The sequence below is a fragment of the Homo sapiens genome, chromosome 3 (genome assembly GCF_000001405.40).
Source record: "Homo sapiens chromosome 3, GRCh38.p14 Primary Assembly".
Taxonomy (NCBI): Eukaryota; Metazoa; Chordata; class Mammalia; order Primates; family Hominidae; genus Homo; species Homo sapiens.
Window position 1 is genome coordinate 18341525 of NC_000003.12, and position 26256 is coordinate 18367780.

The 26256-nt window shown below is 35.1% G+C and overlaps 1 protein-coding gene across 13 annotated transcripts in view, besides 1 other annotated feature; it reads right to left on the reverse strand.

Moving 5' to 3' along the window:
• Positions 3247-3867: an enhancer, noted in NCBI's record as "OCT4-NANOG hESC enhancer chr3:18386263-18386883 (GRCh37/hg19 assembly coordinates)". NCBI's record gives its function as "activates a minimal SCP1, AML or CMV promoter by ChIP-STARR-seq in naive and primed H9 embryonic stem cells {active_cell/tissue: H9 hESC(naive and primed)}" and the evidence as "EXISTENCE:reporter gene assay evidence [ECO:0000049][PMID:30033119]".
• The window catches only part of SATB1 (SATB homeobox 1), a 100216-nt gene continuing 77812 nt past the window's right edge, over positions 3853-26256 (reverse strand). For 7 of the 13 annotated variants that reach the window (NM_001322874.2, NM_001322872.2, NM_001322876.2 and 4 more), the window contains 2 exons: positions 10468-10671; positions 3853-8158 (listed from right to left, as the gene is read on the reverse strand). In NM_001322874.2, coding sequence (NP_001309803.1) covers positions 7646-8158; positions 10468-10671 — 717 coding nt within the window. In that variant the 3' untranslated portion in view covers positions 3853-7645. Of the gene's footprint in view, positions 8159-9788; positions 9885-10467; positions 10672-14968; positions 19313-26256 lie in introns of those variants that run through there. The other 6 variants (XM_011533989.3, NM_001322871.2, XM_011533988.4 and 3 more) reach the window with 2 other exon arrangements.

The window sequence follows — 26256 nt, forward strand, 5'->3', positions numbered from 1 at the left end:
GCATACCCACTGGGTCCAGTTATATAATGTTTCTGTGCCTCAGTTTTATCATCAGTAGATATAGTGATCATAATGTAGCTACCTTCCATGGTCTTTTTACAGAATAAGTGAATGTGTATTGTAAAGGACTTAGAACAGAGCTAGCACTTAGCTTCAGGAACAAAGCAAGGATATCTGTCCTTACTATCTATCTCTACTGAACATTTTACTAGACGTTGTAGGAACTAAAAAGAAAGAAGGATTTTGATTGGAAAGAAGAAATAAAATTGTCTTTATTCAGAGATGACATTATTGTTTATGTAGAAAATCTGACGGTGAAATCTAAACGCTGATAGAACTATTGAACTATTAGAACTACTGAGTTCAGACTACGTTGTAGGATAAAAGCTCAAAATACAAAAAAAGCAATTGTATCTCCCTATACTAAAAACAAATAATTAGAAATGAAAATGTGTAAAAATATCACTCACAATCAAATAGAAAAATGAGATAATTTAATATTTATAATATGAAATAAATCTGACAAAGATGTGCTAGAACTGTACATGGAAACTATAAAACATTGCTGAGGGAAGTTAAAGATTTAAATAAATGGAGAGATGTATTGTGTTTATGGATCTAAAGATTCAATATTGTTAACATGCCAATTCTCCCCAAAATGATCTGTGGAGAGTGAAAGCAATCTCAATCAAAATCCTGTATTTTTTTTTTTTTTTTTTTAGAAATTGACAAGCTGAATCTAAAATTCATAATGTAAGTACCCAGAATCACTGAAACAAGTTAGAAGAAAAAGAAGAAATGTAGAAGACTTGGGTACTTGAATTTAATATTCATTATAAAGCAGATCAATGATTTCATGGGGATGGTGATTGATGCTAATGGGAAGGATAGGAGGGAGGGATTAGGGGCACAAGAAAACTACTGGGGTGATGCATATGTTCATTATGTTTCCAAGTTGTGTGCATGTATGTATTTGTATAGATATATACAAACATTTCATGTATATTTTTCATATATATGTCAAAACATCAATTGAATACTGTAAATATGTAAAGTTTATGTTAATCATACATCAATAATTTTGGTAGTCCCCTCTAATAAATTGCGTTAAGATCTCATGATATTCGTGTGTGTGTCAAGCTTTCCTTTCAATTTGTGTTATTTTCTATTCGTTTGCATTCATTTTGTTGTATTTTTTTCTTTTCGATTCTATTGCATTGTAGTATATATGAAAGTCTTAGCAAATTCTTTTTGTAATAAGATGTATAACAATGTTATATTTCAACAGGACCATGAGATGTGATATTTTAAAGGCCAACAAATGCCTCTTTGCATGTCAGTTTAGAATGCCTCACTAAGAGGACTGTCCATAGGATGTAGTTCTCATTCCCATACAATCTGTTCAATGGTTTTTCTAATTTGTCTAATTTCATTCATTCATTCATTCATTCACTGAACATATTTCTGTGGCAGGATTTGAATGATATAAGTACATGATATTGAATTTACTTGATCTTATGTGGTTGATTATAACTGTAGTTTAAGCATTACATGAAAAATTTTAGACACTAAATAGCAAGTCCTACTGATGTTAGATGCAGTTTCATTTCTGTAACATTATTTTCTTCTTAGATGCTTGGTAGAATAATTTACTTTCAGAATCATCCTGACACATTCTGACATTTAAGTAGTTTGATTTTACATGATATATTATCCTTTAAAAAAATAGGACAAATGCCAAATGCCTGTATCAACTTCAGTGTTTACAGCACAGAATTATTAATTAAATTTAGTTCTTCATTTGAAAAATAAGTTTGCTGGACTCTGCCAGTTGGAGTGTGGATTAATTTAATGTAGTTTGAAATATAGGAATTACCAAATCCAGTTAAGTTTTTATTATGCTATTTCTATGTCTTGAGGCATACACCCCTGTTTAGAGATTTTTTTTCTCTCCAGGCTAAGATTTCTGTTCTTTTTTATTTAGCCTTCTTGGGCATGTTGCAAATATTCTACCTAGTTATGTTTTCCAGGTCTATTGTAGTAGAGCCAATTCTTCATTTTCTCTGCTTCTCACCTGTTTTTGTCTATTTATTTGTGTATAAGATGTCAAAGGAAAATGAAAAGTAACACCTCAAAATACCACCTTGAAAAGGAAAATGCCAACAAATTCTTTTCTGCACCTGAAGCTTTTAATTCTTTAATCCACCATGGAATGTTGCTTAATTACATATTTTATTATGCATAACTGAAAATTATGTACTTTAGTTTCAACAATGATATGAAAGCATGTATTGTTTATAAATAGAGACTGGTTTGTCTCTTTTTTTATATTACAAATATTTGTGGAATTCTCACATGTTCTCCTTCTAAAACTTGGCTTTTTGAAAATGCTCAGAGAGCTCTGAGAAAAACTTCAAATTTTAATGTTTTCTCTAGAAATCAGAAAATTCATTTCTTAAAAAAAAAGATGATGTCATAACGACATTATGGGTAAAAACCATTGAACAGTTTAAAGATTTTTGTAGAAGTTTTATCTTCGTTAGTTTCATGAAGTATTTATTGATGAAAAAATGTTACAATTGTTGAATTAGGTGATAAATTCATGGGAGTTCCTTGTCTCTACTTTTGTGTGTGTGTTTGAAATTTTCCACAATAAAATTTGTTTTTTAAAAGACATTTAGTGTGTATAGGTCTTTGGAGGTCACTATTTCATGAGGAAATATTCCATACACTTGATTTCAAGTAGTTAGTGATCAAAGTCTTCATATTAGCAAAATATGCATTACAACATATTTCTGAAAATTTTGAATTGCCATTAGGTTTTTGTGTGTGCATTTTTTTTTTTTTTTTTTTTTTTTTTGCATTTGAGAGAGTTTTTGTTAGGGAAAAGAGAGAGAAATGTGTAGACTTGAGTTTGAGACAAATGTGGCCACTTAACAGCTAAACAAATCAGTTAACCTATTTGAGTTTCCCTTCCGTTGTCTTTGAAGTGAGAATGTCAGTGCCTGCCTTAAATACCTCAAGGTGGAATGCAGAGGTTTAAACAAGATATGTTTGTGGCAGTGCCTAATAAAATGAAGCATTCTGCAAATATTTTTTCTATATTATTTAAAACATGTGTGAGGATGGTGCTAAGAAGGGGGCCTCAGAAGGAGAAAGCCTTTGTACTAGATCTAGTGAAACAAATGTTTGCAAATTCCCTTTGGAAACAAAGGTAGAATAGATGAAACCTGTCCCTAGATTAAGATGCCGTTCAACAGGTTTGTGCTCTGGACAAATGTTCATTTTGCATCACATTGCCACAGACTAACGAATAAACATATTTAAATATTTGAATATTCTTCTTCAACATTCTCATCTAACAGGTATTGTTGGTTCTCCTGTGAAAGGAAAATCAGAGTAGCACACGGGACATCATTGTGTCAGGTGGGGGTGGTGGTGTAAGGGCATGCATTAAAGTGTCATTGTAATGAAAATTTTGTATTTGAGTACCACAAAAAGCAAGTATTTCTGATTCAACTCACAGTAAATAACGTTCACCATTTACTTTGTTGCAAAATATGTCACTTCGGAGTTTCTTTGCAAGTGTTTACTTTGCATAACATACTGCTCTACTGCATTCGCTCATCAACCACTATCATAGAGAACAGGGCCCAAGTCAAGTGCTTTTGATCACAGTAAGTGTATTAGCAGCTGAAAATAATTGTTGGGAAACGGTAACCACACAACCTTGGTACGAGGCAAGAAGCTGTAATTGAGTTTTGGTAGTGTTCTTTTGATAGAATTAAATTTGGAGATATATGCTCTCTGTAAGTAGGGTAATGTAAGAAAGTCTTAAAAATGTGGCTCATCTTTTAAACATTAATTTCAAACTATTTTTATTTAACATTTGGTATTGTTAAACAGGTATAGTATTCAGGACATACACCTTCTACCACAATTTCTTTAATTAGGGTACTTTATATTTTATCAAAAATGTGCATATTAATAGATTGTAGTTTAGCCTTTGTCAAAAGACATGCAAGTATTTAGTATTTACATTAAAAGGATTGCCTCAGAAGAAACATTGAATTCATAAGCCCTCTTAAAAAGTCAAAAATATGCATAAAGAAGACTAGTATTGATATTTTCTGATATTTTAGATATGATTAATATTTTGGACCTCCATTGGTTTCCACACTATCATGCAAATTTCCAACTTGCTTTAACACAACAGTTCTATCAGCTGTATTAGAGGGAATACACATTTTAATTGCTCTTTTTGAAAATATCACCAGGCAGTTCAGAATGTCTCATTTATTGAGAATATTGTGACAATCAAAGACCTTAATATCAGCCAGATGCTAACAATTGGGAATAGGGCAGAATTTAATAATGGAATGTATGGGATTCTCATTTTTACTCAATCTTGAATCATCTGAGAATGTTTTCTATTCAAGCCAGTATTTTTAGATAAACACAGATATAGATATCGCTACTTTGAAAAAAATCACTTATTTTAAACTCAGAATTTCTTAGTACTAAATGCTAACCAATACACATTTTATACATAATATGTACAGACTTTGTTACCAAGCGCCACACAACTAGGACATACATATTAGTTACCTTGGTTTTCAAAGGTTGTCAACTCTGCATATTGTGTGGCAAGGAGATACTATCAACATTTTTTTTTGCATAATGTGCAAGTATTATATGGCCACAGAGTGTAATACAAATTAGTGGCAAAGTGCTGAGTGAAGGGAATCCATGACAGATTCAGATGCACAAGGTTGAATATTACCCGTAAACTACCTGACTCTGCTAAGGTCTTAACAGCACAAAACGCTATGTCATGCCCAGCTTTTAAAAGTCTCTGAAATACTTGGACACAATGAAGCTTGTTAAAGGAATTTTACCATAGCCACAGGTAACAAGAGGAGGATTGGCATGAGCGATAAATGACATTGGGGGAGCAATATGGAAGATCATCTGGGCAAGTCTTTTCTAAAATGTGCCATCTTCCCTGAAAACAATTTTGCTCACTCCATCCTATCAGTTTATTAACATGTGCTTGTGTGTGTGTGTGTGTGTGTGTGTGTGTATGTGTGGGCATTTAAAATATCAAATTATCAAAACCACGCTGACTTTTAAAAGTTAAAAAATCTAAGTGGGAATTTTGTTAGCATTGTTATGTTGATTACCAAACAAACATTCAAACATTCATCATTTCACTGAAAACACTATTTCAAAATAATTTAGGTTATTAGGAATTGGAAAGTTATTTGCAACCCAAACTTAGGGGATATAAGGAAGAGGAAGATAACTTCATGGCATTTGAGTTTCTATTTTATTTCCTATTTTTTAAATACATGAAACCTAGTTTCTATTTTCTTAATTCAAATTCCTTTGGCTCAAATTATTACTTTTCTGAACTCTAGTGAGCCAGAATGTTTGTTTTCTTACTAAATAAAAAGTGGCAACTTTTCAGTACAATTTTAAGTTTGCAACAAACCAGCTGCCTTCAGAGGAGCTTAGCTGTGCTTCAAAAGTAAATGGAACTTTAAAGCTTTATTGAAAGTTTTCAATGATTCCACTTCAGTTTCTAAAGTACAAGTTCAACACTAAAGCAGCCCAGTTGCCTACCAATAAGCTCATCAGGGCCTGAGAAGATGGTAGGCAGAAAGAGAAGGGGCAATTGCAAAATGGTATCTCAAGCAACCCAGATACCCCTACTAGCATCTAGGAAACAAAGTGAGGGAGCAAATAAAAGAAAAATCACCCCAAACTGTAATGCTGGCCTCAATCCTGTGACCATTAGCACACCTCATTTTATATTCTGGCATTTTACTATGTTTAATGTTGCAAGAATTTTGAAGATTGTGTTTAAATACCAGGTGTGTTATTCCTATTTTCTTCATGTAGCTCTTATAGTTATGAGATACACTTACGAGCTCAGTTATTAACTTATTCCACTTATAACTTGTGAAAAAAAAAAGCTAAGGGGTTTTTATACAGAAGGTCCATTTTTTCCCCTACTTATTTTGTTACTATTAATGGCCTTTAGAAATATTTATACATTAGCTTAAGGAAAAGCATTGCTATAAATGAAGTATTGTGAAATAAGCACAGATGAATCCATTCTAACAACATAACTGCTAGAGACTGGATTTGTTTTTGTCGGAGAGTCTTTTGACCATCCTATCTCTACTTATTAAGCAAAATGTTAACCAAACAGGTTATTTTCATTGTGAAATTTCATACCTATTTAAAAATGAGCATGTGTTTGTGATTTAAATTTACAGTGTTTCAAGTAACTTGTCAATTGCTCTTTTTAAAATCAGTGAAATAACAAGTTATTAACATGCACCTAAATGAGAGGGCCATCCTTTGACTCCTTTAGTTACTTCACATAAGCAGACAAACCCTACCATGTCATACGATACAAACAATTTTAATTGTGTAGTTACAGTCAATAACCACTCCTAGTCAGAACATTTCTGCATAAAGAAAATTGTGATACACTTATAAAAACAGCCAGCTGTAACAAAATAGCTGTTTTCATAGCCATAAACTCATAAAAAAGAAATACACCTTTATACAGAAATTTTATACAGATGTAGCTTTAAAATTGATTGTAAACCAAAGGAAGACACATTGCAAACATCAATTATTTTCACATTAATTGCATAATTTTCTAAGGTGATCTATTAGTTTTATTTACCTAAGCTTATTTGCATGATAGTAAAAATTGCATACAACAATAAGAGTGAAGCTTATAGTATGAATTGCTTGGATAACATAGAGCACTTTTTATAGGCAACTGTGTAAAGCACATTTTCTCTATTTAAAACTTTTAAGACACTTTGTTTTACTGCCCATCAAAATACATTTATAAATAGAAAAGAATCAGTATGGTAACAAGAGAAGCAATATTACATTTAACGGAAACTTCCAAAAAATTAATTACAACATGATGCTGCAGGATCTACAAATAAATAATGAGGACTAAATTGTGTTTCACATTTTCTTTTCCTTTTTTTAAAAAATCATGTAACAATGAGAATGAAAAAAAAGTACAGTGAACTTTTATTTCCAAAATAAAAACAAATTTGAATTACGGCAGTGCCATATAATACAAGGCATTTGTTGGCATATGTCATCTTTAAACTGCATTCCACAGTCTATAGTTCTTTTGTAACATACAATAGAGTAACAAACTCTTTTTTTTCTTTTTTTTTTTTAAATAAGGGGCAAGTTTCCAAAGATCAGTGTGGAGTGCTACAGAAATAATTATAGGAGAGGAAATCATAATCACAGAAGGTATAATGCTTGTTTGAGGCTCCGGAATAAGAACTAAAAAAAAAACAAAAAACACTGGTTTCATGCTTACGGGGTACACACTTTGGTGCATCCCGTGAACACAAATTTTAATACCAAACAATCCTTGATGCTTCACCTGGGGCTGCCAAGCAGTTTGTAAAACAGAGGAAAACATTTAGTGCAGTCTGTATTATCCTTTTCCAACTTTTCTGTTTGTGCAAGTTTTTGAAGATTCATTGGCCAAACAATGAACAACAAAGGTTTTCTGAGAGAAGACAAGGTGGACTTTTCATTTTGTTAGTAAATACCAGTGGCACTGTTGAACGAAACAAATACTTTTATCTCAGTCTTTCAAATCAGTATTAATGTCTGTGTTTCCTTCCACTGACAGCTCTTCTTCTAGTTTCACTGAAAAAAGGGTGTTAGTATTTTTATCTTGGACACTCTCTTCCAAATCCTTCAGCAGCTCCTCTTCTTTATATTCTGCCACATCGACCTCTAAACCGGAATTGTCCTTCAGTTTGCCGTGGTGCTTGAGATAGTACCGCTGGTTCTGAAAGAACTTGATGATGGTGTACTTGGGAAGGTCGAGCTGGGCAGACAGAGTCTGGATGGCCTCTTCGTCAGGGTACAGGCCCACGTCTTGTATGAAACTCTGGAGGATTCCCAAGGCTTCCACTGAAATTTTTGTTCGTGGCCGGGTCTTCTGTCGGTTTTCCTCATCTGACTCTGCTGGAGAGGCCACCGTGGGTTGCCGTGGGGGGAGCCGAGGGCCTGTCTGTGGCTGCTGCTGTGGCTGTGGAGGCGGCGGTGCCTGCTGCTGCTGCTGCTGCTGTTGCTGTTGCTGCTGCTGTTGCTGCAAAGAAACAAGGAGACAATCAGAGCTCTGCTATCGTGGAGTTCCACACAAAGCCGTCTCCAATCAGGAAAAATGTGGTCCCGGATCCTACATATAGCTTCTTTGATAGGGATGAAGATTTAGAAAGAAAAGGTAGGCCGGCGAAATGGCCGACAGCATTTACAAAAAAATCAAAATGATATGACTAGGAAGGGATGAATTAAGACAGCTTTGGGGGGCTACTGCACTTACTTATCAGAGATCAGCAGAGGAAGTGAAAACTCAGTGCTCTGAAAATGTGAGCCATAAAATTCACTAGAATGATACGCATCAAAGGCGAAGACAGCACATCAAATTATGATGTAAATAATTAACAAAGATTTAAAATGAAGATGGAGAGGAAAGGATTTCAAAGACATTTCAGAAAGGTGAGCTACAGAGCAGCGGGGAAAGAAATTTGTGTTCTGCTCCGTTTCATTGGATGGCCAGGAAGAACAGAAGATGAGCTTATGCTCTTATTCAGTGTTATCTGTCATGAGACTAAAGGATTTCTGATATTCTCACACTTGTGAATTTTCTATCAGACAGTTCCAATTTAATACACACACAATTTCTTACCGAATTGCACTAGGCTGACACTGCAAGTTTTTTTCTTACCTCAAAAGGTTCAATCCACCATACGACAGCTAGCGAATTGTTTTGTCTATAGCAAACTCAGATGTGGTTAGGATTTAAATTTAGTGTATACAGACACTTTTTCATAATTAGTATATGTATATGTGCTACAATTTCCATACACAATTATACATAAATATGTGACACATGCACATACTGTACACTCGATATCCATAATTCTTATCAGCAAAGTAAATCAACCTAAGTGGCAAAATATTAGAATGCTGATACCGTGTCTATGCATTTCCTTTTATACCCCTAAGAAGCAATTTTATTAAAAACAATTTATATTTTCGAATAAGTACTTTTTAAATTAATTAACATATATCGTTCTCTTTTTTGTTTTTGCTAAACAGTAAGTTTTTCAGGCTTTCACGATTATTTTAGTGCTTGATATCCTAAAGGGAAGCTCTTTGTCAACTTGTTTTATCTTTAATACACACTTGAGAATTTTTTTATCCTGGTAGATAAATAACTTTATTACTGTTTTTAGTTATACGTATCTATCTATACACACACGCACACACATATATATAATTTTTCACAGAAATACAAAAAAATTGCAGAATGTAGGTGACTCAACAGAGGTAGAATTTTAGGACTCTGGAAGGCAGTGGCATTTTACTTTAAAAGAGAGCTAAAATCATCCCCTTTAACAAAAATAAGCTATACAACTCAAGTTCAATGACAACACGCTTTCTAAGCAACTGGGGCCCTAAGAGCGCTAATGACTACCTGATCCCAGAACTTTTCCATCTAAATTCACAGAAGAGTGTCTTCAGGAGATGAATGGTGACAAGTCCCATGACATGACAAACAAAGCATAAGGCTGCATCTGCTGGCACAGTGAGCTCTGCCCAAGACCATGGTTAGTAGGGCCTTTACAGGTTTGAAAATCCTGACCTGGGGAGCAGGTCTTTAGGTCACCCCCTCTCTGTGTCCCTTGGTGGCATAGGTAACTGTGCCCGCTCACCTGAGGAGCAGCACCGAGCCATGGTGCAGGGGTCGGCAGGCCTGGTAAGAAAACGCCTCTAGACTCTCCTTTCCCAAGGGTGGTGGGAGAGGGGCTCTAAAGGAAAGACAAACAGAGATGACTCACCCCTAACCTACATTCTGTAAAGTGTGGGGAGACAGCTATTACATACAAGGTGAAGGAAGGGCCAAGGACTGTAAGGCAAGATTCCAATTAAGCTTCCCTCCCCTCCTCTTTCTGGACAGAATCCAATGTATAAAATTGTGATTCTACAAACTTCCTTTACAGCAACAGCGGTTGCTCTTTTCCTCAGGGGCACTGTGGTATTAATTAAAAAATAGGTGGTGTTTTAAATTGTGATTTTTAAAAAACACACAAAAATTTTAAGCTCTTAACACAAAACCCAATACCAACAAAGACACATTTGCCAAACGAGTGTAAAAAAGGGGTTCCTGTTGCTTTGGTGGCTGGGAGATGAGGAAAGAGGAACACGATACATACGCTGGAAAAAGTATGTTAATATTCATTTTATCCCCCTGAGCAAGATGGCAGTGTATTGTTATCTCTTGCTAAAAAGCCTATGGTTAGACTGGCAGGAGGAAGAGAAACGCTAATTTCCCTGCTAAGTTTAAAGCTTTATTTACTTATTGCTATACTGAATTGGCCAAAGTAAACGAACCTGAATCTGCTCTGCTGGAACATGGATAATGTGGGGCGGCCTGTCGCCATGGTGATGCACCGCGTTGCTCTCCTGTTCATAAATGGCATCACGTTCTGGCTGAGGAAGACTGAGGAACCTTCGGATCATGGAGAGGTTCTCCCACAGGGTTCTGTTTTCTGGAGAAGGATCTTCTTTCCAGCGTAACAGCTCGCACAACCATCCCTTAGAGACAAGGGCATAATAGGTCAGTTTGTGCCTATGAGAGGGGCTGGCATTTTCCATTAGGAGCTAAAAAGGAAAAACCCTATGAATTAACTTTTTCATAAGCTCAGAACACACCATTCTGCTTTAAAAATTGTTTTTAACTTGTTAAGAGAGGTTATCTGTGGCTGTCAAGGAGGCAGACTCTGTTTCTAATCAAAGTTCAGATTTGCATCTCAAAGGAGGGACATATTTTTTCAGACTCTGAGGGTAACAGAGCATTTATCACAGATTTTTTAATATATGAAATAGGAGAAAAACAAAGTTGATGTGCTTCAGTCTTGCACAACTTTGCTATCTGACGAGTGGCTGGCCATCTGAGGATACGGAAGTGCCTAAGAGGCAGGACAGATTTTAGAAATAATTTTTTTCTAAAAGGATTTCCTAAGCTTGTACTTTTTGGATTTGAAAGAAAACTGTGTGTGAATATTTATGTGTGTACATGTATGAAACAGAAAGGACAGGTGCAATTACACCAGCAAGAATGTTTTCCAGTATAAGGCATAATGATTAGAATGGGCATTACAGGAATTTGCTATGAAAGAACTCTCCAAAGAGAGACACTGGAGTCCTATTTTTCCGCCTGCTGCAGTGGGAGCATATGATTTGTCAGGCAAGAATTTAATAGGTTTCTTGGGCTAAGAGAGAAGGAAATGTCCAATGACTGCCAAAATCTGCACCTCTCTGATGTTTCCAAGGCCCAGTTTTTTTACCCTGAGGTTATCTATCAAGAACTGAATGATCATGAAGAATATATTTTCCAGTCATCTCGAGTCTTCACCTTGGCTGCCATGATGGACACTAAACAATGGAGTGAAGGGGAAGAGTAAGGGTGTCTGATCCAGACCCCCACCAGCCAAGGCAGCTACCCCTCAGCTGTTCTGCTGCCTGCTAATACCTCTCACCTGCACTCTGCTCTCAAAAAATGTCTTGAAACCAACTCTACACTTCTTCATTGACCTCCTCACCCCGGGTGGCCAGTGACTGGCTGACCCAGTGGCACAAAGTCTCTGCCCCTGTTTCTGAAAATGGACAACTTACTCTACCCTTCAATTTACTCTCTAGAGACAGTCATCCCCATTCTTCTTGCTCCCTCCATCAATCTGGGGCTAGATTTTGCCTGAGACCATATCCTTATGGGACCTCTTTCGCTTCCCTATCCTCCTCCTTTCTTCCCAGGGCCCTTACCAAATCATGATCACCTGACTCCCCATCCTAGGCTCTGCATTTAGGGAACTTGATCTAAGACAAAGACATTTCTCGGAAATTTTAAATAAATTAGTTGGATGAAAATGGAAGTATAGTTTTTTTTTTAATTATGTAATTTTTAGATCTAGCCAAGGAGGGTTTTGTTTCTTATGTTACCAGGAGTGAGGCCAGAGGATGGCATGACTTTCCTTCCCTTCTCAAACTGAAACGATTAGAGAGAAAATTCTTCAACTGCAATATGTATAGTGGAAAGAAGCATGGCCTGTTCTCCCAAAAATGGCCTCCTTGAAATATTTTAAAAGAAAAGGTAGAAAACTGACATATTGGCTTCCTAAGGCCTATCTGCTAAGCAGCTCATCGTGACGACTGCTGTATCTCATGACATCTACTAGTATTCCTATTCAACATGTCTTTTAATTAAGCAAATATATGCATGTCATGGTCTTGTAACCATGCACTCATTTGATGCCACTGAATGCATAATTCAAGGTTAAGACAGCAGGCAGTAAACTGAAGATTTACCTGAAAGACTGTTAGCTAAATAAAACATAAAAATCATTGTGATGGCAATGTCACTGAATTTGCTTCTCTTCTAACCATGGCAATTCTATGTTTATTTCCAGAATACTATAATATGACATATTTCAGCTCTATTTATGTGAATATATTAACTATAAAACTGTTATGTGAACATCTGAAGTATCTGAGACCCACTTGCATATGGTGCCCTGCAGATGTTTACTTAGCTTTTACTGGTAAATATTTGCCATCTGAATTAAGCCATGAAAATATACATTTTCCTACAACTAAGCTATTCTTTATACTTTACCTTTAAATTTTGTTGCTATGTATGTTTTAGATAGATTATCTTCTGGTAGGCTTGAATATTAACTGTGGGTGAGATTACTTTCCCTCTCCCCCTTGTCTGCCTCCTTTAGCTATCATAATTGACAGAACCCCTCTACCCGAACACAGCAAATCACACAGTTTTATATACCTTTCAAAAGAAGTTAGAGGTTCATAAAGAACACAGAAGATTTTTTTTAAACTCAGCTAGCATTCTACTATTGCAATAAATGCTAAACATTGAGCATCCAAGAATTTTTTTTTAGAAATAAATGCTTGTAACTAAAAATTGCTAAAAGTTAAATTAAGAATGATTCATGTAAGAAAAGCTTCTTGGAGAGAGCTGAAAAACTCCAGTGATTTTTCACATCCTTTAGGAACTTTTTAAAGTAATGCAGAGATCAGTTAGCACTTGGATATATGTGAAAAAAACATGTGGATCACAGATGTTCTTTGGAAAAGAAAATCATTAGTTCTTTTAAAATGGCTAATAATGATAGCTAATTCCTAAACAATCACACTCATGCTGGTTTAACAAATATTTCAGAAAAAGAGCCCCGACTCATTCAACAAATATTTTGCTCATATTGTCACTTCTGTGTCTCTAGACTTACGAGACAGATCCTTATTTTTATTAATTGCCCATGACTAACATAACATTTCCAGTAGTTTGCTATTAACCTCTGCCCTTAAATAATACTTCTAATTCCTTATCTAAAAATAATTTGATGAATTATAAGTCGAAGCATGTCTCCGCTAGCCTTTCAAGAAATGCGATGATTTTAAGAGACTGAAATCAGATGCTTCTTAGAAAAATATTTAACGGTGCAGCTGGGAACTGTTTGCTCTAAAGGGTATTCCAAAAAAATTTAAAAGGGGGAGGGGATGCTTCTCTTGATGCGCATTGCTCTTAAAAAAATAATGGAAAACAGACATTTTGACACATTAGCTCTCTGTCAGTGTAGAAATAAATTGGCTCATTCCCAGTTTACACTGGCAAAAATAAGATAATTTATTCTAATGCTATTTAAATACCTTGGAATATTTTGACTACCTCAAATTCTATTGATTGTTACTCTATTAATAATGACAGTAATCTGATTTATGTTTTGCAGAAAATGACTAAAGAAGCCAAATGCTTTCTAATGCTTCAGTACCTTTTTCTAGGTCAGTTTTCCACAAGTGATATTGTTAGAACAAATAAACTTGGGAAGAAAATGAATATGTCACAATATTTTTAATATCTAACAAAAATAATGATTCCCCAAAGTACTGTACTAGTTTTTAAGTGTTAACTGCATAGACTTATGTGGGGGAGCAGAGATGAGGAATGAAATGCAGTGCTTTGTTGCAAAAAGACAAAAAAAACACCAACAAAACAAAACAAAACATAATTACGTTTTTAAGAGAGGTCTCTGGGACTTGATATACATAAGACCATAGGAAGAACAGGGAACTGTTCTCTAAATTAAATGAGCTCACAACTGTTTTGAACAGTAGAAAAGACAGGGGACTAACAGCCTTAAAATAATGAGACCGATCCATTCTCAGAAAACTAAAATGGTACAAGGAACAACCTAAACTTTAAATGTAGTAAATTTGCCAAGCAACATTACACTGCATATAAAGAGGGCAAAATATAAACAGTAGCCACATGTAAATAAATTAGTAAAACTTTCAGGATGTTACTACTTTTCAAACTGACAAAGTTTAATTTGACACCTTCTGTTCTAAACCCTTTGTTTCTATTCAAAATCACGCCTTGAGCTGTTGCAATCAATCACAGTGCTCCCCCTATTACTTAAAAAAAACTGGCATGGACGCTGAATAAGCTGAAAATGCCATGCAGATGAATTCTGAGATAATATGTTCAAACCTGTTATATACAACACAAATCCTGCAAAGTTATGTATTGTAAACCTACATTTATTGAGAACTAAAAGTCTTAAATCCATCTGCCACAAAGGAAATACTGTTATGTACTTTATAGTAACCAAGAACCATGTGCAAATGTCTTGCTACCGTAAGCAAGAAAATGGTGCAAAAGATGCTAAACCTAAGACTGTACGAAATAAATAACATTCTTTTGACTGGTTTTGGTTAGGGATCTATTAAAGAAATGTAAGATTGAAAAAAAAAAAAAAAGGAAAAGAGAAAATGCAGAATAACTGCCAAATCAGTACTGCAAAAAAGCAAAACAAACTCAATGATAACACAATGGCAATTTATTATGGTCCATGAAACACATGACTGTATGCTCATTTTAAAGGAAAAATTAGCAGTTCTAAACTCAATATTCTAATGATGTGCTTTACTGACAAAATCTTGTTGTACCACATTTAAATAAAAATCCTGGCACCTTCATCTCTCAGCTGCTAATTTCCAACCAAACTCAATCTCTGATTTCCACTCCACTCTTTTTACAACATTTAATTCAAGTCAATTCGCTTCTAACATTTTAACAGATAAGGAAGGGGTGCACAATGATTTTAATTGAGTCAAGAAAGTAACCTCCTTTCATAAATGAATTTATTGTACTTTATAAAGCCTCACATGCATAGAATGAGAACCCCTAACAAGGCCTGTTCTGTGACAAAGCTGGGAGTATGTAACATAACTACTTTTCCAGGAGGAAACAGACTTTGGTATTCTCTGAGAAAAAAAGTCATTTAATGCAATATACATATATGTATATATTATCATTATGTACATATACATTTTAAAACTAAGAGCTATAAAAAGAGAAAGAAAATGACAATTCTTACTGCAACTAAGAAGGAAAAATACATCTGAAAAAACAGAATGGTAATTTGAGTTCTAAAAAGCAAAACATTTTACAGTCTGTATTTATTCCCCCTCACCCTCATCTTTTATGTGTTATTTGCAGGAATAGTTTGTTCCAATCTCTGGGGCATACAGTATAATAATATATGATATTAAAAGAAATCAATCTAAATAGGAAAGTATTTGATACAAACATTTTAGTGGAAAGCATGAATTACATTTCAGCAAGTAGTAGGAACAAGGATTAAGTACATAATCCATTAAATAGTACTTCTAACAAAAAATTCAGTATTGTAGACTAAACTACACCAGGCATTTGAATGAGTACATTTTCAACAACAACTAACTATAAAGCTAGCAATTTATCATTCAGCAAATAATTTTCTACTTTTAAAAGAATCTGTAAGTGTTACTTATGCTAATGAAGACAGTTTTTAATCTGCCCACAAACATGCTAATAGAGGGCAATTTTTTTTTTTTTTTTTTTTTTAAATAAAGCTGTCGGCACTCAAGGGTAATTTCATATCAGTGTGTTCTACAAGCTGGGGGAAAATGAGTTCTAATTGTCAGAGCTACCAAATCCTTCACCTTTAGCATAAAGGTTTAAAGATATCACAAAGATGCCAAGTGATTAATAATGTTTTAAACCACCCCTTTTTCTGTCTGAAAAAACAACTAAAACAATATTACAACAGTATAGTTACAGAAGGGTTCTATTTTCATATGTTTTATGCACACTGTGCCTCAAAGGTACTATTTAAATATATATACTTTTGAGGGGGTGGCTAATGCAGAAACACCCAAGACCTAAGGAAGATACAACCCCATTTCTAGGTGTGAGGTCTAAATGCTTCACACACCCACTTGTGACCTTTTTTCATGAAGAATCATAACACTGTGCAGTGAGAAACAGTGGCAAAGCAATACTGAAAGCATTTTAAATTATTTACTAGGTTAAAAGGGTGAACTGATACTTTAAATACATCAAATTTCATCATCTAGACCATTTTTTGGTGGCAAAGTGGTATTGATCTTTCCAAATGCTTAAAATTAACTATTTTCCAGAAGGTCATTATTTGATTAAAGGCATTAAAGTTGAGGGCAAGAAGCGATGCACTTTTTCTTCTTTCCCATTCAAATCATCATATAATTTAATATAAACCATCCCATCATGTCCTGTAATAAAAACACTTGTCTTAAGATATTGTTCTTTACCTAACATATTAACCTTTAAATGTTATGAAGTTCTTTAGAAGAAAAACCTTCGCTAAAGCAGATTATTCTATAACATTATGAGAGGCCCCCACCATTAACATTAATAAAGATACATGTTCTCCTCTATGGAATTAGTAGGAAATGCATTAATCTTTCTCTCCAGCTTAATAACATCTACTTTGTGTAAAGTGAAAAGAACCTCAGCTGGCACTGTAAGTAACTTTTCCTGCTAAGTTAACATTGGTCTTATTAAAGAAAACATGGAAAATAAATTTGAACAGAGACGTGCCAGTAAATGCATTTTCCATTCTAAAAGTAGCACATTACATCCACTTGATTCAAAGACGGGTTTTAAAAAGGAAATATATTTTAAAAGGCATATGTGTGTGCATGTATGTATCCCCCAATATGTTTATTTTTCAAAGTGTGGTTTCTGATACTCATATTTGCTGAAAGAAAAAAATAATAATAATCTTCTTTTTAAATGTTACTATTCTTAACTTCTAAACTGTTACTGTTTTTGAATTCTCTCTAGAGGCTCCAGTTTATTTAAGAGACTCAGTATCTTAGCCAAAAATTTGTGCGTTCCAATACTGGGGTAATAATAGGACATAAAATGGCTATCAGAAAATTTTTTGCTTGAGTAAATTTTTGCCACTTAGACATTAAGAAGTTAAACACCTCTACCAGAGTTTCTAAAGGTTACACAGAAAGAAAATTATTAGCATAAACCTGGAGAAAAATTTCTATTAAAATTTTGTGAACTTGGAAGGAATACTCACAGTCACTGGTAAATGATCTTCATTTTTCAATTTTATTTACAATTTAATCAGATAAAAAGGTGCAAATCATTTGTTTTTAATGGTATTTATGTTTACCTCTTCTCTACTTTTTCAAAGCCACTAACTTTAGGGCACATGTGGATTTGGTGGTTTTTCTTAGGCTACAAATCATTTGGTCCATAACAAGATTATCAAATGACAACCTGGCCAGAGCAGATACAAATGGTTCTGACTTAAATAGGTTGTTGAGCAAGGAGATCTCACATTTTAAAGAATATTTTCAGAGGGAGAATTTGAGAAGGGGGGAGAAAAAAACAAACAGGAATGAACATAAAAGTATAAAATTCTAGACAACCCACTAAACCAGTTAGCAAAAAGAGGAGCTCTTAATTGAAATAGAGAATTTCCCCAAAAAAAGGTCTGAATTTATTTTTAAAACATTAGATTTGGAAAATACCTAATTTGAAAGTTTAATTTTCATATATACGTCAAACCTGCTTTTAGGGTAGTTTAGTCAAAGCTGAAACAAAACAAATAAAATTCTGGCTTATATATCTGATACTTGAATAAGGACTCTGAAAAAAAATGTTCCCGTTTTTTTTCTCGTCAGCCTAAGATATATTTTTGACATTACATAAATTTCAGTGATATGATCTGGCTCCTATTTAACATTTATGCACTTTCTCTTCAAATGTTAACTTTTAATTTTCTCCTCATTCTTCATAGCTGGTATCATTAAAAAAAACAGAAAACTCAGTACTCCGAAGGTTCATGGTGTAACATTTTCATCAGTTTTCGTGTCTCTTTCTATCATTAAGAACCATCCACTCCTTTCCATTCTACCACTATTGACTTGTCAGAACTGGAGCACCTCTTCCTTGAATTACTATGTTAGACAACAACATTCTTTTTTAATTACTTCCAGTGGGCAATTATTTTGATTTCTGAACAAAAAAGCTTTTAAGTAATCATTCCTTTTCCTCTCTTAAGTTAGGGGAAAAGTAAGTCAATGATGACCAGAGTTTTCAAGAAGAATAGAGAACCAGTGTCATCACACAGAGTTGATGTGATTCCTACAAAAAAGCACATTAATCTGATGTTTAATTTCGCCCATGAAACTTACTGATAGGTAAAGAAACGGGTTTAATTAAGCTTTCTTGAATCCTCTTAACCATGTTTGTGATATCCTTGTAAATCAGATCCCAGAGTGAGAATCTTTACATTAGTCTTCCACTTTCAAACTGCCCATAGTTACCCTACTGTGCACCATGACCTTCAGTGGCTTCCCAAGGTAGGAGAAAAGTTCACCCTCTCAGGGGCTGTTTTCGAGGTTCCTCCCAATGACACTGATGTCCAAATCTGTTGGGCTATTTATTAGCTATTGCTGAGCACTGCCCTACATTCTATTCTCCATTCCTTATACAATTCTCTCTAATGGGAAAGCCCTTTCTCCTATTTTTTTTTTTGGTGCCCATTCAAATACTACTTGTCTTTCAAGACACGCTCAAGCACTTCTGTATGCCAATAAAATGATTATATCTCATATAGGCATTTATCTATGTGAACTTGAATAATGTTTCTGAGCCTCAAGATTCTTCCTCTACAAACTGTAGATAATAATGGTATTAATCTCACAGGATAGTAGCCAGTACAAGTGAAACAGAATACATTCAGCCCAATGCCTGCTCCATGGTAACTACCAAAAGGTCTTATAAACTTTACTGAAAGCACTTGCCTTAAATGTCTCCAAGCACATTTGGGAAAACCTGGAATTCAAAAATAACTATTAGTGCAAGATAGCATGTGATAAAGGTCATTGATGGGCAGACATCAAGTGGATCCACATGGAGAAGAAGAGTTGAGGTAGGGTTGTCAAGGAATTCTTCATTGATGAAGAGAAATACTGGCTTGGATTTGAAAAGGGGACAATATTTAAAACAGGAAAAATAATAAATAACAGAACAAGATGAATTAGCAGGGGGCTGGGAAAACAGACCAGTTGCTTTTGAACTGTCTATGACCCTTTTTTAATAGCTCTTTACCATACTTTCTTGAGAATACTACTTAGTTACTGTAACCTCATTTCCTCTACTGGACTTTTAAGATCTATTTGTTAAGAAGTCTGGGTTTTAATTTGAATATCTATTCTACCATTTATCATAGCCTTGTAACCTTAGGCAGATTACTCAGGTTCGCTAAACCTCAATTTTCTGCTCTATAAAATGGGGTCTAATTTTACCACTTAGTTCACAGGGTTGTGAGAATTAAGTAAAATAATTCATGAAAAGGGCTTGGCACACAGTAACAGTATGATGAATGTAAGCTATTATTATTTTATTGTTGTTATTATCACACAAGGGATTTGAATATCAAGGGGGCTAATGAAAATAATTCAGTTATAATATTCCAGTCTGAACCAAGCATCTTCCCCTAAGCCAGGTTCTCCTAGGAAGTTTTACTCAGTTAATAGTATTACCACATACCCAATCACCTAGGCTGAAAGACTGTTATTTGAAGCATAAATTGGTATAGTCTTTCTGAAGGACACTGTGAATTGCAGAATGTGGAAATATCTAGCAATCACCTGTAAAACACAAATGCCTTTTTGATCCAATAATTTCACTTTTAAGGATTTAAGGAAATAAGGATATGTACAAATATTTAACTATAATGTTTACATTCATATTATTTGTACTAGCAAAAGTTGAATATAGCCTAAATACATCTCAGTGGGGAATTAAATGGTATGTTCAGCACATGAATAAATGCAAGACATACATGCATACACACATATATACATATAGATACATGTGCATGTGTGTGTATGTATAAAGGGCGTCAATCAGGATCCTTAAGGTGGTCATCTCTAGGTGATTAAATTTATGGATAATTTTATGTTTTTCCTTATGCCTATATCTTCTACTTTTTCTATAGTAGCTAGGTATTAGTTTTGTAATAAAAATATATAGCAAGTGGCTTTAACTAAAAATCTAACTTTTCTTGTCTGTCTCTTCCATAACTGATGAATTCCTGTCAATACTCCCTCAAACATCTCTTGAATTTGTTCCTTCTTTTCCATTCCTCCTGCTGTGGTTCAGTCCCACAGCATTTCTTCAATAATCTAATTCTGATGGCCTTCTTTATTCCAGCCCACCCCCAACCCTGCTATTTGAGTTACATTTATCACAAACAAATGTGAACACAAACAGCCCTTTGAGTGGCAAACTCCTCACTTTCCTTCACCCAAAGAGCTTGGAAACACCCTGAGGCTCACACTTCAACGAGTGAAATGTAAAAATGCGGCAAAGGATTCACCACAACAAATTCAAGCGGCAGCAAATGCGGGTACACAGAAAGATACAAAAATGGCCCAATCTGGGCTATTTAGTGGTAAAATACTGTATACACCTCTGCAATTTCTGAGGGCTCATGTATAGTAGCAAAGTCCAACAATCTGTATTCATAATGATGTTTCTGTATTCAAAAAAAAAATAAGGTTCAAATTGAGCTCAGCATAATAGGTTTAAGACAGGACAGCACCATAAAAAACTCTGTCAAAGGCAAATAAAATTATTATTTTCTTTAAAAAGAAGAATTTATGCTAGGAAACTTTACTTTTCCTAAATTTCTTAACCCAAATGAGTATGTGCTCTCATATTGCAATGTTATGAAGCAAATTTATTATGTTGCTTCCTAAAGTCACTATTAAAAATTTATAATATTTATTTTCCTATTCAAAATAATGGTCATTAAGAAAAAATATTGCTGAATATTCATATATGCCATGTGCAAAAAAAAAAAAAAAAAAAAACCAAAACCCCAAATAAATATAAGAAATCATAAAAAGAATAATTTTAAGGTGACAATTTACCTGACAGGGTAGTTTGTCTGCTTACAAAAATAATTTACTACCAGGTTGATTTGGATAAATATTTCTGCCACTGCATTTTACATTGATTTATGTGAAACTTTTCAACACTGCATGTATATCCTAAAATGAGCTACACTCCCTATTATGCATATTTAGGGACTGGGAATTAAAAATTTAAATATTCCCTCTATGATGTTTTAGGAGAGATAACAAAAAATTTTTAAAAGCAGGGCAAGGCAATTTGGGACTGTAAAAGTTAGGGAATCACACCCTAAGAGGAACAAGCAAGCAGGGTCACTATGAGCTCCCAACTTGCCTATGATTTTGCTGATAAAGTGTCCAAAACCGCATCATTTTATCCATTATACAAACTTGCTAATCAGAAGTTGGCTTAATTTGAAAGACCCAAATCTTGTGATTTACAAGTAGGCATTAAAAAAGGCAAGCATAAATATTTCTAGAAGCATCATGTGGGTCTCAGTGACAATGGCCGGGTTATAATTTTACCAATAAAAGGAGACAAGGGAGACTGGGGCTTTGCACAGACTGTCTCAATCACTCCTCTGACCACATTTTACATCTGGGGAAAGCAAGCTCAGAGAAGGCTCCAGGGGAGAATGGCAGCAGTGAAGCATGACCCTACTCCATCCTTGTGAGCCCACTCCAGCGCCTCTTCCCACTGTCCCACACTGACTCCCTTTGGAATAGGCTGGCATTTGTGAGGGTAATATTGGGAGCTGATTAAAATTTACTTCTGAATCATTCTATCCTCCTACAAAGAATTCCTGAGTACCATCTATGTGCTAGTCATTGTGTAGGCTAACAGGAGATGTGGGGACAAAACTTCTTGTCCAGTGAGGTAAGAACCACTTAAACTTCAGGTTTAAGTTGATACTAAAGGTATAGTTAGTTCAATTGGAAAAAAAAATGTCTAATCTAAAAGCAAAGGCGTTCTCTCACAAAGTCCTACAGCACTGCATGTGGGCATGCGAATATCAGAGAAAAGGTTGTCTGGAAGGTTTCTGTTTTGGTGGTTGTTTTAAATGTCACTGCATCATTGTTACCTCTGTTTACATGCTTTGGAGTGAAGGATGCTTGAAGAGCAAGCATACCAAAATGCAATAAACAAAAAGTAAATGTTTCTCAGGTTAATTTGAGAATCCCTCAGCTCATGTGATAAAATACATATATATTTTTTTCCTCTACAAAATTTATCTAATCATTGATCTCATCTCTTGTGCCATGGACCCTTCTGGGAGTCTGGTAAAGCCCATGGATGCCTTTTCAGAACAGCGTTTTTATGTGCCTGAAATAAAATACATAAGATTACAAAGAAAATCAATTATACTGAAATACAGGTATCAAAAATTTGTGATACAGTAATATATATACTTCTTTATTAACACACTAAATAACAAGGTTTAGCAACAGATCTAATAACTACTGTAATTTTATAGTGATGGGCATAAATGATATTTTAAGATATCTAGAACAACATAATAGGACAGGAAAATATTTTGTGATTTTTTTTTAATGGTGACAAATTCATAGGTATTGCTACTGTCATTTGTTGCCTATATTGATAATTGAATAAAATGTCAACTTTCAGTAAGAAGAGGTTGGAGAAAATAAAGTCATTTTTTTCATCCAAGTTCATGGTTCCCTGGGGGAGAAGGTGGGCCAAGGTTAAGAACCCCTAAATGGGTGACCCTTCCTCTTACCCCACATAAACGTGTGTGTGTATACATACATAGCTATCAAATATATATGTATGTATGTATATATATATACACACACACACACGTACGTATAGACACACTTCAAATACTGTTCCAGAACTATCTCCTATAAGTTCTTAACATATTAGAAAATCTTAGTATTTATGGATTTGTGAAACAAATTTCCTTTTTTTTTTGCCACTGAAGGACCATGCCTCTTAGAGATGGGTTAGAGAAAAACAGTCACTACCACAGGGGTTCCTAGACTGTGTCCTCAGTAGCCCCAGGTTTCCATTAGAGGTGTTTCAGAAGTACCCGCGTTGTGTATGTGTAGGGTTAAGGGGTTGATGAGAAGGTCCCTGCCCCCATTCAATCCTCAGGTCAATCAAAATGGAGAAAACTTTCATCTCATTTATATATTTCAGTTCTGAATGAGATTTCATTAATTAAATGATGGTTCTACAGCTTACAATTTTTGGTTTACAATTGCACTAGCACATATATACCTCATTGTTTTCCTGGTCCTGTTACAAACACAGAGATTGGGCTTACAATTTCTGAATAAAGCATCTAAATTGTTACGGGTATTGACATCATGTCATCCAAGTAATTTTAAAGGTAAATAAGATTAGCAGAGTATCCTTTCAGAAATGTCTACCTGCCAGGAGAACACCAACAAGTTTTTCCAAAGACACAGGGGTTTTCCAAATAGAAGGAGATAAGGTAGGACAGATACAGGATAGAGGCAGGATACAGAATGGAAGAGTGGCACAAGCATTGGATGTGCGGGTGGGTAGGGTCGGGGAGGGGAGTGGCTCTGCAAATGCTAGGAAACTAGCAGTGATCAAATACCAGTCCCTGCTCTCTGATCACTGCCTCTCAAAGAGCACATGGCTATACAGTCTTTGTCTAACTAGCTGCCTTGTGCCTTGTCCTCCAGTCTAACAGAAGATCAAAGAAGGTGAGTAGAAAAGATGGTAAGGGGGGAGACAGGTAGAAAATAATTGAGCACATAACCGTCTGATAACTTTATATTATATGTGGCTCAATGCTAATTTGCTCAGAAATACAAGCATAAACTTCTGTTTAGAAATTAAGCTTGATGGATAAGGCTTTCGTCCTTATGGTTATCCAGGGTCCAAGCTATTTAGTCTCTTTAATCAAAATACTAAAATAAAATCATTACCCATTAGGCTATTACCCTTCCCCCAATCTCCAAACATAGAAGCAAAAATTAATTGCAAGCCAGGAAGAAAGAAGGTAATTTAGACAGTAACAGCTTGGCATGGACTAAGCTAGATTTCCAAATAGCATTTGTCTGTTTGTGAATGTATATTTTATTTACAACCTTCACTTCCTTGACCTTGTTGAAAGTAATTTATTTTTACCTAATCTGCATTTCATTTAAACAACCAAATACTTCATCAGTAAACCAGTCAAGTAACACCCATGACAAGCAGCACTCCTGTTGGTACCATAAGTAAAATGGGTAAACATTTAAACGCGACATTTGGGGATGGACACATCTCAGCAGCTATTAAATGCTACAGGTACCAATTTATAAACTTGCAAAAATGGATTTCAAGGTATTCTTTTTTTTTTTCAAGGTATTCTCTCAAATGAGCTGTCACTCCCTGCTTCCTTTTCCTTTGTATTTACTCCCTATCTCCCTAATCTCTTCCAAATCTGTGATTTCTCATCAATCGAGTATTCTCACATTGCCCTGCTTTCCCGTTTAATGTGCTATTAAAGTTTTTAATGTGCCAGAAAAAAACTTCCATCAATCAATCAATCAATCAATCAATCAATCAATCAAAAGAGCAGCTAAGGGTGGACCTTCAGGCATCAATTGAAAAGCAAACAAAAAAGAGACATATTTAAAGAGGAAAGTCTTTAGCAACCTTCAAATCATATCATGCTAGCAATCACCACCCTACCACATATTAAACCAAGCCCATTCCCCAATGGAATTCGGCTCATCTCATACTCTATACTGTACTGATGCTGCTAGGTCTCTGTATGATAATAGGGAGAGTTCCCAGTCATCTATCAACAAGTCTCAGATGAAAAGTGTATATCAATCATGAGCTCAACTCACACCATGTAATATGGAGTTCATATACTGGATTCCAACAATCAATTCAACCCATTATATGCCACCTGTAAATAACCCTTCTTGGCTCTAGACCCCAAAATATCACTTTTCCGCCTACCCCCCAAACTAAGCCCTTCCATTATCCAAACTCTTACCTTTTGTTTCCCAGACTAGAACACCTGTCAGCAGTGTCTTCAATCAAAATAGCATCCTCTGTAATACTTGTGTACCTGTTTCAGTCACAAACACACAGACCTAGAACTTTAAGGGACGTTAGATATAATATGACCTAATCTATTTTACTTTCCTGAAGGGGAAGTTCAATGTCTGAGAGGTTAAACGGCTTGCCTGGGACTACACAGCAGGTTAGCAGTGGAACTGGGACTACCACTCTTTGCAGTTCCCAATGTTTTCCATGAATGATGCAATTCATGTACAAGTTGTTAGGTAAAACATCGGTGAGTTTGCAAATTAGGTACTATTACCTTATTTCTGTATTATGTAGAAAATCAGGAGCCATGCCCTCTAGTTCCTTTCAGCTTAGGCTACACTGCAAATGATACTGATGACTTCAACAATGATGATGAAAAATGAAGACAGTGGGTCCAGAAGAAAACAACAAAGAACATTAAAAGGAATCACTTTTCCTTCCTGTATGTTTTCATGAAGATATGAGAGCACTGAAGAATAGCAATTGCAGAGTGACTGAGGATGGTGGATTCAGTTGGGGCAAGATAAAGTTTGTAACACTTCTATTGATTCTTCATCGGTGACTTGTTAACAGACAAATGGAAAATGTCTTCTTATTAGATAGGGACCTGGAAGGGTCCATAAATAAATAATTTGTCTTTGAAACGCAGGATTCTTGTAGTCTAACGATTAATTTAATGAAAAGATGTGCTCTTTCTTTGTACTGAGAATACTGATCTTGTTAAACTCCGTATACACAACAGCATCCCTAACGAAGCAACTTTTTTCCCCTCTCTTTTCTGTTCCCTTTTGTATTAACAGGCATGCCAGGCAAAG